This window comes from Homo sapiens, chromosome 7 (genome assembly GCF_000001405.40).
Source record: "Homo sapiens chromosome 7, GRCh38.p14 Primary Assembly".
Lineage (NCBI taxonomy): Eukaryota > Metazoa > Chordata > Mammalia > Primates > Hominidae > Homo > Homo sapiens.
Genome location: NC_000007.14, coordinates 147,080,520 through 147,097,673, shown reverse-complemented (window position 1 = coordinate 147,097,673; position 17,154 = coordinate 147,080,520). Strand labels below are relative to the sequence as shown.

Genomic DNA, 17,154 nt, shown 5'->3' with positions numbered 1-17,154 from the left:
CTTGAATTGTACTCCCATAATTCCCACGTGTTGTGGGAGGGATCTGGTGGGAGATAACTGAATCATAGGGACCGTTTCCCTCATACTGTTCTAGTGGGAGTGAATAAGTCTCACAACGTCTGATGGTTTGATAAAGGGAAACCCGTTTCTCTTGGCTCTCATTCTTTCTCTTGCTGCCGCCATGTTCAAGGTCCCCTCCACCTTCCGCCATGATGGTGAGGCCTCCCTAGCCATGAGGAATTGTAAGTCCATTAAACCTCTTTCTTTTGTAAAGTGCCCAGTGTTGGGTACATCTTTATCAGCAGCATGAAAACCAACTAATACATCATCCATCCATCCATACAACTATTCATCCACACATATGTACATGAACAAACACCATTACTTTAAACTTGTAAAATCATTAATGTTCTGAACGCTATACATCCATCAACAACCCCTACAAATTTGTCAGGACGAGTAGCAATATGTAATAGGTGATTAGGAAAAAATGTCATTTTTATTTATTTTACTTTCTGTGCTTTCCTGAAAGCTAAATTAGTTGGTACAAATGATTTTCTCTTATTTGTGAGAGATTGGGACATATGTGTGCAGTATCTTTTGAGGTTATGCATATGGTGCAATATATTACAACAATTCTGTAATTTTGGTTTGATTTCACATACCTTTGGGTGAAAATTTTACCTCAACCATAAAATAGGCTTAGTAAAGCTCAAAAGGTACACATGTTGTGAGATAATGTTCTCTTTCCTCTTTGCTAGAGCAGTTAGGTCCTGTCTGGTAAAACACTAAAAACAGTACTCTGTGGTCTGCTCGTGAACACACCTCAGTGATTTGGGCATTGGAGGGAATCTGATTCACTGTGAACTTGGGTGCTGTCCATTACTTCATGACACCTGCACACTCACTGGGGCCATGAAGAAGAGGTTGAATTAATTTATTTTCATAAATGAGCAGTACTTACACAACTTGTGGCGAGAACCAGTCCTGACAGAGATAAAATGATTTGTAGCTTCTAAAATTAGAAGTCACAACTTCAATGCTCAGAGAAGACAAGCAGTTTATACAAATGTGTGATGCTGGCTGGTTATAAATATCATGTCGTTCTATTGATCTTTTACTTTCTTACTTTTGATAGCAATATGACCAAGAGAGACATATTTCCCTGATTAGAAAATCAACCAAAAAGAGATTCTAATGAAGAGATTAAAAGCTCAGCCATGATGGCAGAGGATTCATGCAGTGTTTGGGATATGTTGTGGATAAAAGGGGCTGTCCCTATTCACATGGAGGTAACTTATGATATGCAGGAATGCTGGTGTTATTCAAACAATACATTTTCAAGGAAGCCCAGAAATTCAAATTTTTAATTAAATTACTCCAATTTAAATGTTCACCAGTTGATTTGGAGTTGTATTATGCAGAGGCTGCTAGCTACTGGCCCACATTTATGTCTTCTTGGCCACATAGTTCTTTAAGCTGTCAAATACAAGACTTCATGGATCATAGTAAATCTGAAACAATTAGTCTGCTAATAATTACACCCTAATTTTCCTGTGAATAACCAGTATGTATCTGCCTGTGTTTTTATTTTTCAAAAGGTAAATTCTGTAGGAAACAACATGATTAATGCTAAATCAATAGAGAGAGCATGGTTAAGAAAAAACAAATGTTAATGTAAATAAAAGAAAAAGGTGCATTTACTACTTTTACGAGGGGTCCAAAAGGCTCATCTGTCAGGACCCATATGAAGGGAGAAGCTGCCTGTCGTTTTGTTGTTGCTGCTGCTAAAGGGAAGGGTGGGCTTCATAGGAACAAGAACCTCCACATTTGAGATAAAAGATAATTATTTAATTAATAATAGCTCATCAAGTGTTGTTAATAACAACTAAGCAAACCAGGATCCAGTTTTAGGAAGATGTACTGAAATAAAATGGAAATTGTTTTTCTGCCTCGTTTCTGTAGCTTGGTAAGGTATATGATTATAAAATGAAGGTAGAAACAAAAATCAATATTGTAGTGATGTCAGATTCAAAAGAAAAAAAGAAAGAAGCAAGAAAAACAATGAAAGACAATGAAACAACATACATCTGAAACTTATTCACTGAGATTTGAAATAGAACTTACTAAAAAGAAAATATATATATATACATATATAAATTTTACAAATATTTTATTAACTGCTATGTTCTGAATGTTTGTGTCCTCCCAAAATTCCTATGTTAAAACCTTATTCTTAATGTTACAGTGTTAGGAGTTGGGGCCTTTAGATGTGATTAGGTTATGATGGTGAAGTCCTCATGAATGAAATTAGTTCTCTCATAAAAGCTGCCCCAGAGGCTGGGTGCGGTGGCTCACGCCTGAAATCCCAGCACTTTGGGAGGCCGAGGTGGGAGGATCATTTCAGGTAAAGAGTTCGAGACCAGCCTGACCAACATGGTGAAACCCCATCTGTACTGAAAATACAAAAAAAAAAAAAAAAAAAAATTAGCCAGGCGTGGTGGTGCATGCCTATAGTCCCAGCTACTCGGGAGGCTCAGGCAGGAGAATCGCTTGAACCCGGTAGACGAAGGTTGCAGTGAGCCGAGACTGCGCCATTGCACTCCAGCCTGGGTGACAGAGCAAGACTCTGTCTCTAAAAACAAAAACAAAAAAAATAAAGTTGCCCCAGAAAGATGCGTTGCCCTTGCACACAGCAAGAAGGCATCATCTAAGAACCAGAAAGTGGACCCTCATCAGATACCAAATCTCTTGGTACCTAGATTTTGGACTTCTCAGACATTAGAACTTGCAAAATTAGATTTCTGTTATTTATAAGCTATCTAGTTTATATTATTCTGTTATAGCAGGCCAAACAGACTAAGACAGAAAATTGCTACTCAAGTAGAGTCCTGCTGCAGCAAATACTAAAAACGTAGGAACATTTTTGGAGCATGGCCATGGGCAGAGGCTGGAAGGCTTACAAAGTTCATGCTTTAAAAAAATAATAATAATAATCCCAGCACTTTCGGAGGCCGAGACAGGCGGATCACGAGGTCAGGAGATAGAGATCATACTGGCTAACACAGTGAAACCCCGTCTCTACTAAAAATACAAAAAAAAAAAATAGCCAGGCGTGGTGGCGGACGCCTGTAGTCCCAGCTACGCGGGAGGCTGAGGCAGGAGAATGGCGTGAACCCAGGAGGCGGAGCTTGCAGTGAGCCGAGATCGCGGCACCGCACTCCAGCCTGGGTGACAGCAAGACTCCTTCTCCAAAAGAAAAAAAAAAAAAAAAGGAATAATAATAATAAAAGGCTACATTATTCTGAATGGACCTTTAAGGGTAATTCTGGTGAGGACTTAAGAAGAAAAGAGGAGAGCTGTAGAAAGAACCTCAATCTTCTTAAGGTATACCTAAGTGGCCGTGAACAGAATGTTGATAGAAATTTGGGTGATAAAGGCCATTCCGATGAGGTCTCAGACAGAAATGAGGATGCCCTGGGAAGTTGCAGAACTCAGGAAGAGATCTGTTGCTCTGCAAGATCTCCACAGAGTCCCTTCTAGGGCAATGTATAGAGGTGCCATGGGGTTGCGGCTGCCCCAAGTTTTGCCGCCATCAAAACCGGTAGAAGCCACCAGTGTGTGATTCTAGCATGAAAGAGCCGTGAGCTGGTGACCCAGGCACAGAGCCACCATGGAGGTGGGGCTACTGCAGAGAACCATCTAGGTGGCAGGATATTCGGGGCTTGGGACTTTAAATTGGGACCTGTTACCTTTTTCTTCTTTCCTATTTTTTTTCCTTTTAAAGTGATAATGTCTATTCTATGTGTGTCCCACATTGTATTTTCGAAGTACACAACTTGTTTGATTTCACAAGTTCACAGCAGGAGAGCAGTTTGCCCTGGATGAATCACACCTTGAGTCTCACCCACATCTGATTTAGATGTTATTTAGATGAGACTTTGGAGTTAGAATTTAAAATTGATGTTGAAATGAATTAAGACTGTTGGGGCTATTGAGATGGAATAAACGCATTTTGTGTGTGAGAATTGTGTGAATTTTGGGGTTTTGGGGCAGAACGCTACGGTATGAGTGTTTGTGTCCTCTCAAAAACTGTAGTGACCAGAGGCTCACTGAAACCTAAACCTATACTTCCCCTAGGAGAAATAATTCAGTATTCGCTAAATCAGTGTTCCTGGCAACTTTATAGCACATAATTACTATCAATAATGAAGACTGCTTGTGTTTACGTTGCATTTATTTACCTTTACACAAGAAAGTAGAGAACCATTTCAAACTACCACATATATGTCAGCAGAATATAATAAATATTTAATTTAATCTTGAGGCAAATGATTAACAAACAGCAAATCTCTTCAAAAATAAGTATAATGCTGCATTGTATCATCTGACATACGTACACCTTTTCTTTTTCTTTTTTTTTTTTTTTTTTTGAGATGGAGTCTCGCTCTTTCGCCCAGGCTGGAGTGCAGTGGTGCGATCTCAGCTCACTGCAAGCTCCGCCTCCCGAGTTCACGCCATTCTCCTGCCTCAGCCTCCTGAGTAGCTGGGACTACAGGCATCCGCCACCACGCCCGGCTAATATATATATATATATATATGTATTTGTATTTTTAGTAGAGACAGGGTTTCACCGTGTTAGCCAGGATGGTCTCGATCTCCTGACGTCGTGATCCGCCTGCCTCGGCCTCCCAAAGTGCTGGGATTACAGGCGTGAGCCACCGCGCCCGGCCATACCCCTTTTCCTTCCACAGCATGGACGTGCCATTTAGTACATGCAACTTACAAGTAGAACATACAAAGGCCAATCACTCATTCCTGACATGCTTGCTGCAACTAAACACTGTGGTTTATATACCTAATTATTAAAATTCACTAACCACTATATCAACAATAAGTTTAGTTTTTGTAGTACAGAGGTATGTAGAATCTGAGATTCCTAAAGAATCACAGAATCCAAATCACATTTTTCAATTTACATTCCCTCTATGGTGAAGCTCAGAATTTTTTAAAGCTATTTGATGATTGCCTACTTTTCCTGACTTTGTAGAAAATATTCTGCTTAAAAATTGCAACATAAAAACAAATATTTTATTGAGTCTACTAGAATAGGAACATTAATCTCTCTTCTCTCTAAACCCTAAATTACTTTAAAGCTATAAATAAGCTTGAAGTTGACTTCTTATACTATAAGAATTTTAGATATTATTTTGTACAATTTATAGCTTGAATTTCTCTTTCTAACATAAATTCAGGGTTTCTCTTGAAAAGATCTGGCATTTTCTTTTGAATAAAGGCCTGAGATATTGGAAATATTAGAAACCTATTGCAAAGTTGCAGAATTCTGTAGCTTCAAGAAGGAAATTATTTTGAATTCAGAAAATATAAGGACAGATATATCACAAATCCAGTTAATTTTAGAAAAACATTTTTGAGGGGGTCATTGGGAAAGGAACTGAACTTGGAAACAGGATACATTTGATACAGTGCCTACACATCTGTGTTTCAACTTCCTGCATTTTTACAGCTTAGGTCAATCTTAACAATTTATGCATTTCCCAAGGCATGACAGATATAGTGCTGTTACAAGTGCTATTTATAGTAGGGTGGTTAAGTCCTTAAAATGACAATGGTTGGCCAGGAGTGGTGGCTCACGCCTCTAGTCCCAGCACTTTGGGAGGTGGAGGTGGGCAGATCACGAGGTCAGGAGATCGACACCATCCTGACTGACATGGTGAAACCCCGTCTCTATTAAAAATACAAAAAATGGCCTGGCGCGGTGGCTCACGCCTGTAATCCCAGCACTTTGGGAGGCCCAGACAGGTGGATCACGAGGTCAGGAGATCGAGATCATCCTGGCTAACATGGTGAAATTCCGTCTCTACTAAAAATACAAAAAAAATAGCCGGGCATGATGGAGGGGACCTGTAGTCCCAGCTACCCGGGACGCTGAGGCAGGAGAATGGCTTCAACCTGGGAGGCGGAGCTTGCAGTGAGCCGAGATCGCACCACTGCACTCCAGCCTGGGCAACAGAGCAAGAAAAAAAAAAAAAAATTAGCTGGGTGTGGTGGTGCGCACCTGTAGTCCCAGCTACTAGGGAAGCTGAGGCAAGAGAATCTTTTGAACCCCGTAGGCGGAGGTTGCAGTGAGCCGAGATCGTGCCACTGCACTCCAGCCTGGTGATAGAGCGAGACTCTTGTCTCAAAAAAAGAAAAAAGAAAAAAGTATATGGTTGAGTTTCTTTAATATAAACTTAGAATCATAGCACATGCCTTCATTCCAAGGGTTGGCACGACAAAGAGCATGCTGAGGCAGAGCATTTTTCAGAAAATTAAAGTGATGCCAGCTTTCTCATGACCGAAGAAATACGTAGTTGAGTCAATAGCATCATGACCATCCCATCAGGATACAGAAGAGCATTGGCTCTGAGCCCAGAGATCAGGATCTAGGCTTGGTTTATTTGCCCATGAGGAAACCGATTCACTTTCTGGGTCTGTTTAAGGAAAGAAGGAAGGGGACGAGGAATCTAAGAGACTCCATGATCATCCGATGGGGCGTTCATGATGCTATTGATTCAACTACATACTTCTTGGGTCATGAGAAAGCTGACATCACTTTAATTTTCTCCCTTCAACTACAGAAATTAAGCATCTCTTATTCTGATTGACTTGCCCAAGCTTAATTTTTCATTTATTTTTAATTTTGAATTTTAAGTTAGATCCTAAATGGAAGAATTCAGGATTTTAGAGAACATTTCTTGATTATTTTAGCACATTATGAATTGGACTATTTCAAATGCAATTTTAAAACATAAAATCCACAGACATTGAAACGCTTTCACGGGTGACTGGACAATCACTTAAAATTTATGTAAGAAAAGTATCAAAATTAGCCAATTGCAGCAAAAATATTACATCCTAAAAACCACATATAATTGTCAATATTGTTAATTTTTACAAAGAATAATTATATCAATTGTTTTAATAAACAATTGGAAGGTGTTAGAAGTAAAATCTAACACAACAATTTATAATTATTACTTATATTCTTAGTTGCTTGATAATGCTAAAAGAGATACACATTTCTGAAGATTAAATTATTTTAATTCTAGAACATTAAAAAAGTATCTGAATAAATTAAGAAAAATATTCATGGCTGCAGTTACCTGGGACCAGTAAGAATAAATGTATGACCTTGAGCAAGTGTAAAATAAAAGATTTAATCCCATTCAGGTAAAACATGTCATATTTCCCTCTCTTTTTGCTAATATTTAGCCTAGCACAACAGTACAGCCCTTGTTGTAAATACCAGAGAATTGTAACACACACACACACACACACACACACACACGCTTATATGTTCTATATCAGTCTTCTTTACTAAATCAAGATCTGGTTCACAGTAGCTGGAGTGGCAACATATTAAGTATTTGTCTAATTGATTTGAAATAATGACTATTCTAATCCACCCACTTAGCAACATTGACTCATGCCTGGAAGGAGAACAGGGCCATATTTTTACCATAACATGCATGAATGGATTTAGGACAAATTGGGCGTCTTGCTTGGTGACTATGGGACCCTCCCTTACTGTTCTGTATTTGTGCTGACTTCCCTGAGGTAGCTGGTTTATTTTCTCCCCAGTGAGGAAGAGAGCAAACTGTAGAGACATAAAGTGAAAGCTGAAAAAATACATAATTCAGTCTACTCTGCTTCCACTGCTTTCTGTACTGAAGAACATTTCAGAGAAACAAGTATTTTGGAGGCTTCTGGCACTGCCCCCTCACTAGGCCCTGAGACACCTTTGGTGCAGAGTGAGGACGGGTGCTTATATGAACACCTTCAAGTCCATCATCTGTAATTCTGTCCACATCAGCATAATATAAGCCAGAATTTCTTTATAGCTTATGAATTTGCCACCCAGAAAACAACTAATATTTATTGAATATAGGAATTCAGTGTCATAACACCTGGTTGGCTGTATGTATTCAATGTAAACTTTGGTTTCTATAACTTTCAAACTACCAAACTTAGTTAACTCCTACCCAAGGCCTAGATTTATAACAAAGACTTATTTCCAATTTTTGTATTTCATGACTAAAGTTGATGAGACTCTGGAGTTCAAAATGAAGAAAATGTCTCAATTACTAAACCACAATGCTGTGGTTAAGAATAAATTAGCTAAATCAAGTAAAAATAAAGGAAAAAGTGTAAAATTTTAGACATATGTGAGAAAAACAAGACAAGAATGTTTTTCCAAGTGGCTCTGTGTGAGTCGCAGTGGATGCTATTTATAAAGGTTTTATACATAGCATGAGAAGCCTTGCAAAGAGACCATTTATAGACATTGACAAACAGAGAAGTGCAATGCTAGGGATTATGGAGACAATGAAGTGGGAGGGCCAGGACTCCGATCACTTGAAACTTCTCAAGTGGAACTGCTACAAGATGTTGAAAAGGTGGGATGCATACACGGAACATACAGATAATTCTCTCTGCAGGGGCAACAGCTGGGGTAATGTAGCTCCCATGTGACAGTGGTAGAAAACAAATTCCTTGTCAGCCATTCATCTAACCCATCTTGGGCGGACAGCCAGGATCCTAACAAATTGCTGGGAGAAGCAGTCTTGCTTTTCTTTCTCTTTCTCTTTCTCTTTCTCTCTTTCTCTCTCTATCTCTCTGTCTCTCTTTCTCTCTTTCTCTTTCTTTCTTCTTTCATTTATTTATTTGGAGACAGCATCTTGCTCTGTCACCCAGGCTGGATTGAAGTGGTATGATCACAGCCCACTGCAGCCTTGAACTCCGGGGCTCAAGCAATCTTCCTGCCTCAGCCTCCTGAGTAGCTAGGATTACAGGGAGGCACCACCATGTCCAGCTAATTTTTGTATTTTTGTGTAGAGATGGGGTCTCTCTATGTTGCAGGCTGATCTTGAACTCGTAGGCTCAAGCCATTTTCCTGCCTTGGCCTTCCAAAGTGTTGGAATTACAGGTGGGAACTGCACCCAGCTTCAGCCTTGATTTTGAAAACAAGTAGAAGACCTGACACGGCCCTTCAGGGCTCAATCACCAGCCCTTTAGTTACATACTGCTTCATAATATGACATAATATTTTAGAATCTGATTTAGTTTATGACTGACTACTATGTATTTTGTCACTTGAATTGTCTTGTAAATAATATAGTTTTAAGATTTAGAAACTGGCTTTAAACCTTAAAATTTAAACTGATTGTAACCTCAAAATTTAAGGTTAGAAAAGGAGCTTTGCAACTTTAAAACATCTATTTTTTGTTCTTTTCTAATTTCTAGTTTTCCAATTTCCAAACTCCTGGATTTGACAGCTACCACAGAAAAGCTCCAATATTTATGTTAGAAATATTTTCTTTTTCTATTAAAGGGTCATTATTCCATAGTGATCCTTTTCTTTATTTTTAGTGATCCAAGTGAGATTTATTTCTCCAAAATTTGAAAGAGTTAGATGATTTGATAAATCATTCCCTCTTGAAATTTAGAAAGGTTTTGAAATGTGAATTAGGAAAATGAAAGTTAGAGTCCTGAGGTTAGCGAGATTGATTAGTGGAAGCTGCAAGCAAGAATTTCCACGTTAAGGCCTAAACTGTGTTTTAAACAGTTCTGTTGCACTACAGGCAAAAGATGACCATGTCTGCTTGATGGCTGTTTTTTTTGTTTTTTTGTTTTTGAGGTGGAGTCTGGCTGTGTTGCCTAGGCTGGAGTGCAGTGGCACAATCTCGGCCTACTGCAACCTCTACCTCCCGGGTTCAAGGGGATCTCCTGCCTCAGCCTCCCAAGTAGCTGGGACTACAGGTGTGCGCCACCATGCCCAGCTAATTTTTGTATTTTTTAGTAGAGATGGGGTTTCACCATGTTGTCCAGGCTGGTTTCAAACTCTGACCTCATATGATCCACCTACCTTGGCCTCCCAAAGTGCTGGGATTACAGGCATGAGCCACCATGCCCGGCCTTGATTATTTTTCTTATAAATAAAGTAGAAGCAACCATTGTTAGGAGCTCCCCCACTTTGGGTGGAAATGATTTTGCCAAGAATGAAAATAAAATGCTGTTTCTGTAGTATCCATTTTACAGCAAATTCTATTAAAAAGTGAAATAGAAAATGTCATTAGACAAGAGCCAATATTTATAGGGCCAAATAGCCATGCAAGTGAGGTACAAACAATGACTTTTAAATATGTTGCATAGAGAAATTCACCACTTTCGCTACACACAAATGTTTTTAATGCACTTACACACATCTTTGCTAGGGATGACCACTGGTTAAAAAAAACAGAACAAAGAAAATTCATGTGTCTCTTCGGTGTCCTCTTTTTTCAGTGATTTTCCACTCCCCACTCTGCCACTCAATATCCTTTTGTTAAGAGACACATTGCAAAGAATCTGATAACATAATCCACAATGAGATACTGTATCTAATGATACTTAACGTTTCTAAGACAATAATGGGAACAATACTTAACTCAAAGGGAAATAAATGCTGCAGAGGGAACTTGAGGCCCCAGAGAACGGTTAATAAAAAGACAGCTTGAATGGAAAGAGAGGTCCTCCAGTCACTGAAGGTCCACCATGTAGATAATAACCAGACACACTGGTGAAGTGTGCAAATTTCAGATACAGTTACACTTACCAGTGTCTATTTTCCTACAAACCACAACATTCTCTCTAAGCACAATAGAGGCAAGCATAAAACTTTTCTAAGTATCAGGGAGTAACAGGTGTAAAACTTAACTTGAATTCGTTGAAGCTCTGTACTAGACTTTTCTGAAGTTTCATCTTGTTTTGCTTTGACAATAATTATACCATACTAAAGATTTAAAATTGCTGTTTCCCAGACATTATTTGATATAGTTAGAGAAAGTGCTACATGTTACATGAGGAAGGGGGTCTAAGATTATGTATCTTCTGTATGGCCAGACTAGGTGGTCATGCTTATAATTCCAGCGATTTGGGAGGCTGGGGTGGAGAATCGCTGGAGCCCAGGAGTTTGAGCCAGCCTGGGCAACATAGAGAGACCCTGTCTCCACAGAAATAATTTAAAAAATATTAGCTACATATGGTGGTGCATGCCTGTTTTCAGCTACTTAGGAGGCTGAGGTGGGATTACTGACTGAGCCAGGAAACTGAGGCTGCCATGAGCCATGATCATGCCATTGCACTCCATTCTGGGTGATAGAGAGAAATCTGTCTCAAAAAAGTAATTTAAAAAAATTAAAAATAAAAATAAATTTTATGAAAAGAAAAAGAAAGAGAAACATATTTTCTGTGGATGTATCAAAAAGAGCATAGATAAAAATTTTAAATGTTGCTATTTTTATACTTTTGCTTCTCTGTATCTATTTTCTTCTTTGTTTCATATTTTTGTTTATTTTCTGTAAACTCATTTATTCTTCAAACCTCTCCTCTTTCAAAACTCATTGAGCCCAGAGATATCCCTTTCTTTCCTATTTAAATATGATTTTGTATTTTCACTACGTTCACATTAAAATGCTCCTTTAAAAATATTCATATTAAAATTTCCTTAGAGTTTATGCCATTGATTAGTATTCAGGTTGAAAACACTAATGAAGTTCTCTTGGAAGCTGCGGTAGGAAACTGCTTTTGGTGACATGCCCCACTGGGTTTTTCTACCATTTCAAGTTGTGCTTCAATGAGGCTCCAAGGTTTAAAGAAAAATTTATTTGGAAAAACACGACGCTACTCTTTGACTTACAGAGCTTTCGTGTGCGTGTCTTAGCTACATAATTTCTACAGGAACACACAGGACATTTGGGTTGCAGATGCAAATGATATGTTTATTGCTATCAATCATTTGTATCACCAGATCACTGGACCAGAGGACAACTTGTAAAAGGATTTCAGAATGGCATAATGGGAAGAAACACGCTAATAAAACGATGAGACATGAAGAGAATTTAAAAATATACAATGATCAGCTGTGAAGAATTGGCCAGGTAACACACAGTAAAATGTTTACACTTACAGAATAAGTCTGTATGTTTTTAGCTCTTAAAACCAGAGGTGTATGGTTCTAGGAGAGATATCACCTATGGCAGCGATCTCCAACCTTTCTGGCACCAGGGCCAGTGTTTTGGGAGACAATTTTTCCACGGACAGGTTGGGCTTGGGGGTGGGTTTTGGGATGAAGTTGTTCCACTTCAGATCATCAGGCACTAGATTCTCATGAGTGTTCATCCTAGATCCCTTGCATGTGCAGTTCACAGTAGGGTTAGTGCTCCTATGAGAATCTAATGCGGGCACTCATCTGACAGGAGGCAGAGCTCAGGTGGGAACATTCGCTTGCCCACTGGGCACCTTCTGATGCTGTGGCCGGGTTCCTAACAAGCCATGGACCAGTATAGGTCCGTGGCCTGGAGGCTGGGAACCCCTGACCTACAGTACAGTTTTCCCAGCCCAGGCAAAAGGGATACATACAAAGATAACAATACTAGGAGATGGAGAACAAAGTCATTAAAGATGCTATAATTTTCATCACACTTTTCTTAAGAAAATTATTTGTTTTTCTCAAACCAAAAGACATCAGCTTTGATTGGTTTATTAATAAACAACAAAAAATGCTTTTCTAACTTGGAGAAAAAATGCTTTTCTCAACTTTGAGAAAAAAATAAGCCTGATTTTATAAGTACTCAAACCTCTCAGAGTTAGTGGGTAGCAAAGGATTTCATTATAAATATTTCATCAATGTAAACTTGAGATATTAAATGATATGACTAAAGTTTGACTAGCTCACAACCTCATGCTACATATATATACACACACAAACACTATATGTGTGTGCCTATACATAGCATATATATAAATTATATATAATAAAATACATAAAATTATATGTATTACATCATCATGTTACATATTATATATCATATATCACATATTATATACATTATATATAATTATCATACAGCATTATATATTATATATGCATTATGTATACATATAGCATGCTTATATATGCTATATATTATATAGTATATGGTATAACGTATACATGTATATACATATATACATATAGCATGCTTATATAGCATTATATATGCTATATGTACATATGTATATACATGTATATATTATTATATTATTATATATTATATATAGTATTATATGTATATACAATATAGAGCATTTATAAGCATGCTATGTGCATATATGTGTATATACATATATAGCATTATGCATATATGTATTATATATACATATATAGCATTATGCATATATGTATTATATATACATATATAGCATTATGCATATATTATATATACATATATAGCATTATGCATATATTATATATACATATATAGCATTATGCATATATGGATTATATATACATATATAGCATTATGCATATATGTATTATATATACATATATAGCATTATGCATATATGTATTATATATACATATATAGCATTATGCATATATGTATTATATATACATATATAGCATTATGCATATATGTATTATATATACATATATAGCATTATGCATATATGTATTATATATACATATATAGCATTATGCATATATGTATTATATATACATATATAGCATTATGCATATATGTATTATATATACATATATAGCATTATGCATATATGTATTATATATACATATATAGCATTATGTATATATGTATTATATATACATATATGTGTATACACATATATAATGCTATATATAATGCTATATAATATATACATACATGTGTATATGTATATATGCATATAATATATACATACATGTGTATATGTATATAATATGTACATACATGTGTATATGTATATAATATGTACATACATGTGTATATGTATATAATATGTACATACATGTGTATATGTATATATAATATATACATATATGTGTATACACATATATAATCCTATATATAGCATATATGTATATACACATGCTATATAAATATATAATACATTATATATCTATGTATCATATATAATATGTATTATATATGTATATATAGCATTATAGATATATACACACATACAGATATATTTTTTATATATAGCATTATAGACGTGTGTGTGTATATATATATACATATATATGTGTATATATATATATACATATATATATATGTATATATATATATAAAATGATGTTTACTTTTAACCTGAAAACGAGTTAGTCTTTTGAGGATGAGAAATCATTTGTACAATTTTAAATTTAATGTACACATTACAATATACATTTAGTAGAGGTGAGCGACATTATTGCCTACTTCTCCAAATCACTAGAAGCAAAATACAGTGTTCCCCATATTCCAAACGTTAGTTTGTCATTAATACTTTTGAAGGCTCTCGAAACTACGTTATGAACTGTAGCAGACAGTGTTTGCCGACCTAACATCCATTTCCTCTTTGTTGCTTTTGGTGGTGTTACTGTTGACCTCAGACAAGCCTTGATTTTACTCATTGGGTGTCCAGTGTCCATCCAGTCCTCATATAATTCAAGGGAAGCGACTCTCTTTTCTCTGCAAGGGAGCCAGTCCTGAACTATCCAAGTCAACCGAGGCAATCCCATTTCCTTGCCGCTACTTGGATGAAACATGGGGATGTGACTCAGCTACAGCGAGAGAGGATGAGAGGCGTGCTGAGAACACCTTTGGGAAGGCCGCCGATTCCTGAGAAGAACATGGCGGCAGAGCAGATGGCCTCACCCTGCCTCTGGAAATTGCAGTGTGTGTCTGTGAGAACTGAAAGGGTGTGGCCATCTTGACCCCAAGATGGGAGCCAGGCTCAGGACACGCAGTGATGCCGGAATGGCTCCCAAATGGCTCCCAAAGCATCAGGTCAGTGGGTCAACTAATTCCTGAGATCTGTTCCACCCTGACACTTCCATCATATAGGAAACTGAATTTCCTTGCTTTTTGAATCAGTTTGAGTCAGATCAGAATTTTTAGTAAGAACTAAAGATTAAACCTTCCTTAAATGTATATTTTAAATTTCCTCTTAAAAATTATGACAATTGTGATCTTTCAAAGCACAGAAGAGGAGGAATTCTCTCCTCCATTTGTCTAGGGGCGAGGAAGTAAATCGCACGGCAGAGACTGCTAGCTGTTCAATGAAAGCGCAAGGTGAGCTTTACTTTAGTGATACAAATTGCAGCTTTTAGCTGGGTACGTGGCTACAGAACTCAGACTAGTTTTCTATTCTCCTTTGCATCTAAGTGTTGGTGGTCACACGACCAAGTTCTGGTTAATGAGTTATGAGCAGATGCTGCAAGCCCATTTTGGCTCTGTTCTCAGTAACAAGTAAGCCCTTATAAACAAAAAAGTGAATCTCAGCCTCAGTTCAAAGAGGCAGCGATAAAAGGCCTAAGCAAATGTAAAGAAAAGGGGAGCATGTTGGTCCTAAACTATTCTTTGGTAATCACAGTTTTCAGTTTCTTTTTCCTTTCTTCGTGGTACCAATTAATTTGTAAATGCTAATGTTTAAATAGCAGCATCCAATCCCTGATTTTCCCTTCTGGTCAAAGCCCAGCCAGTGGCTGAATTCAACACCCTTTACCTTTCTTTTTTTTCCTAGCACTCAATGAAACCATTGTATTTCCTGCTTGAACAGACCAATGAATAAGTGATCAAGGACCATTCTAAACTGCAGTCTTCCAGTTCTATAAACATTATTATTCGGATCCAAAAAACTATTAGCTAGAGCCTATTGATCCTCTAGCTCCCTCCTTTTCAGAGCACCAGCATACAAATCGTCTCATTTGATTTCCTTCTAGAAGCACAAGCTGGGCGTGGAAGACTGTACAGATGTAGCAGGAAGGTATGAATGGCCAACGGCACAAGATGAAACTGAAAGTGACATTCCTGTTTTAATACTTGCTCTTTGACCAAGCCTTTAAGATTAATGAATCTCGGCCGGGTGCGGTGGCTCACGCCTGTAATCCCAGCACTTTCAGAGGCTGAGGTGGGCAGATCACAAGGTCAGGAGATCAATATCATCCTGGCCAATATGGTGAAACCCCATCTCTATTAAAAATACACACACACACACACACACACACACACACACACACACACACACAAATTAGCCGGGTGTGGTGGTGCGCCTGTAGTCCCAGCTACTCAGGAGTCTGAGGGAGGAGAATCGCTTGAACCCGGGAGGCGGAGAAGGTGGTGAGCTGAGATTGCGCCACTGCACTCCAGCCTGGCGACAGAGTGAGACTCTGTCTCAGAAAAAAAAAAAAAAAAGAATCTCTTAGTTTTTAAGTGATGAGTGGTTGGGATTGCCAGTTTTGGTTTTGGCGTAGACTCAAGAGACAAAAATACAAGCTGGCAGGTCCTATAGTGAAATTTGGAGTGAATCCTGTAGCAGCTGATGAGGAACTATGAGACAGTGGCCTGTGTTGCTGGATAGAGGCATCCCACTGTCCACTCGTTGGTGTATGTTCTCATAAATTCACAATCATTCTTTCAAATGTGGCTCAACAATCCGATACTAAGGAGCACTACCTGAAATCACAAAGACAGTTTCTTTGTGAATATTGCACCTTCTTCATAGCTGTTGGTTCTTAGCACTGTTGTGTGTTCAATCTTTCATTAGATTATATACTCCTTAAGACAGGATCAGGAGTTATATTTTGTTGAATATACACTATGTTGATGTCATATGAAATAAAATTTAAGTGTATATTTGTGTACCATATGAGGAGAAATAAACAATATTATGTGTGAATTTTACATTTATTCTAATTTTCATTCATATCAGTTCAATCTTTCTCACTTTTCAGGATACATAGCCAGAGTCAATATTGGTGAGGAGGTCAGGAAGAGGTAGGAAAACGACTGGTGGTTGAATTGACTGGAATCAAAGGGGGAGACTGATTCTAATTGACATGAGGCAGAAAAATAAAAAATAGCTCAGGATTGAAATGACACAAAGTTTTATATATATATTTATATATATTTATTTTATATATAGATATATATGTTATATATATGTCATATACATGTTATATATGTTATATATGAATGTATGTTATATATATAAAATTCTATGCTACCATACAATTACAGAAAACATAGGATTTTAGTTAAAAAATAAATGTTATCTTCATGGATATCATTGGCCTTTTGATTGCATTTGTTG

General features: G+C 37.4%; 1 protein-coding gene and 1 long non-coding RNA gene across 3 annotated transcripts in view; one reads left to right on the top strand and one right to left on the bottom strand.

Moving 5' to 3' along the window:
* The window catches only part of CNTNAP2 (contactin associated protein 2), a 2,304,198-nt gene that overhangs the window by 1,323,325 nt on the left and 963,719 nt on the right, over window positions 1–17,154 (bottom strand). The gene's annotated exons all lie outside the window — the stretch shown is intronic.
* CNTNAP2-AS1 (CNTNAP2 antisense RNA 1) lies at window positions 65–16,736 on the top strand. The gene is made up of 4 exons (NR_110829.1): window positions 65–242; window positions 11,852–11,981; window positions 14,453–15,134; window positions 15,586–16,736. It is a non-coding gene; the product is annotated as a CNTNAP2 antisense RNA 1 (long non-coding RNA).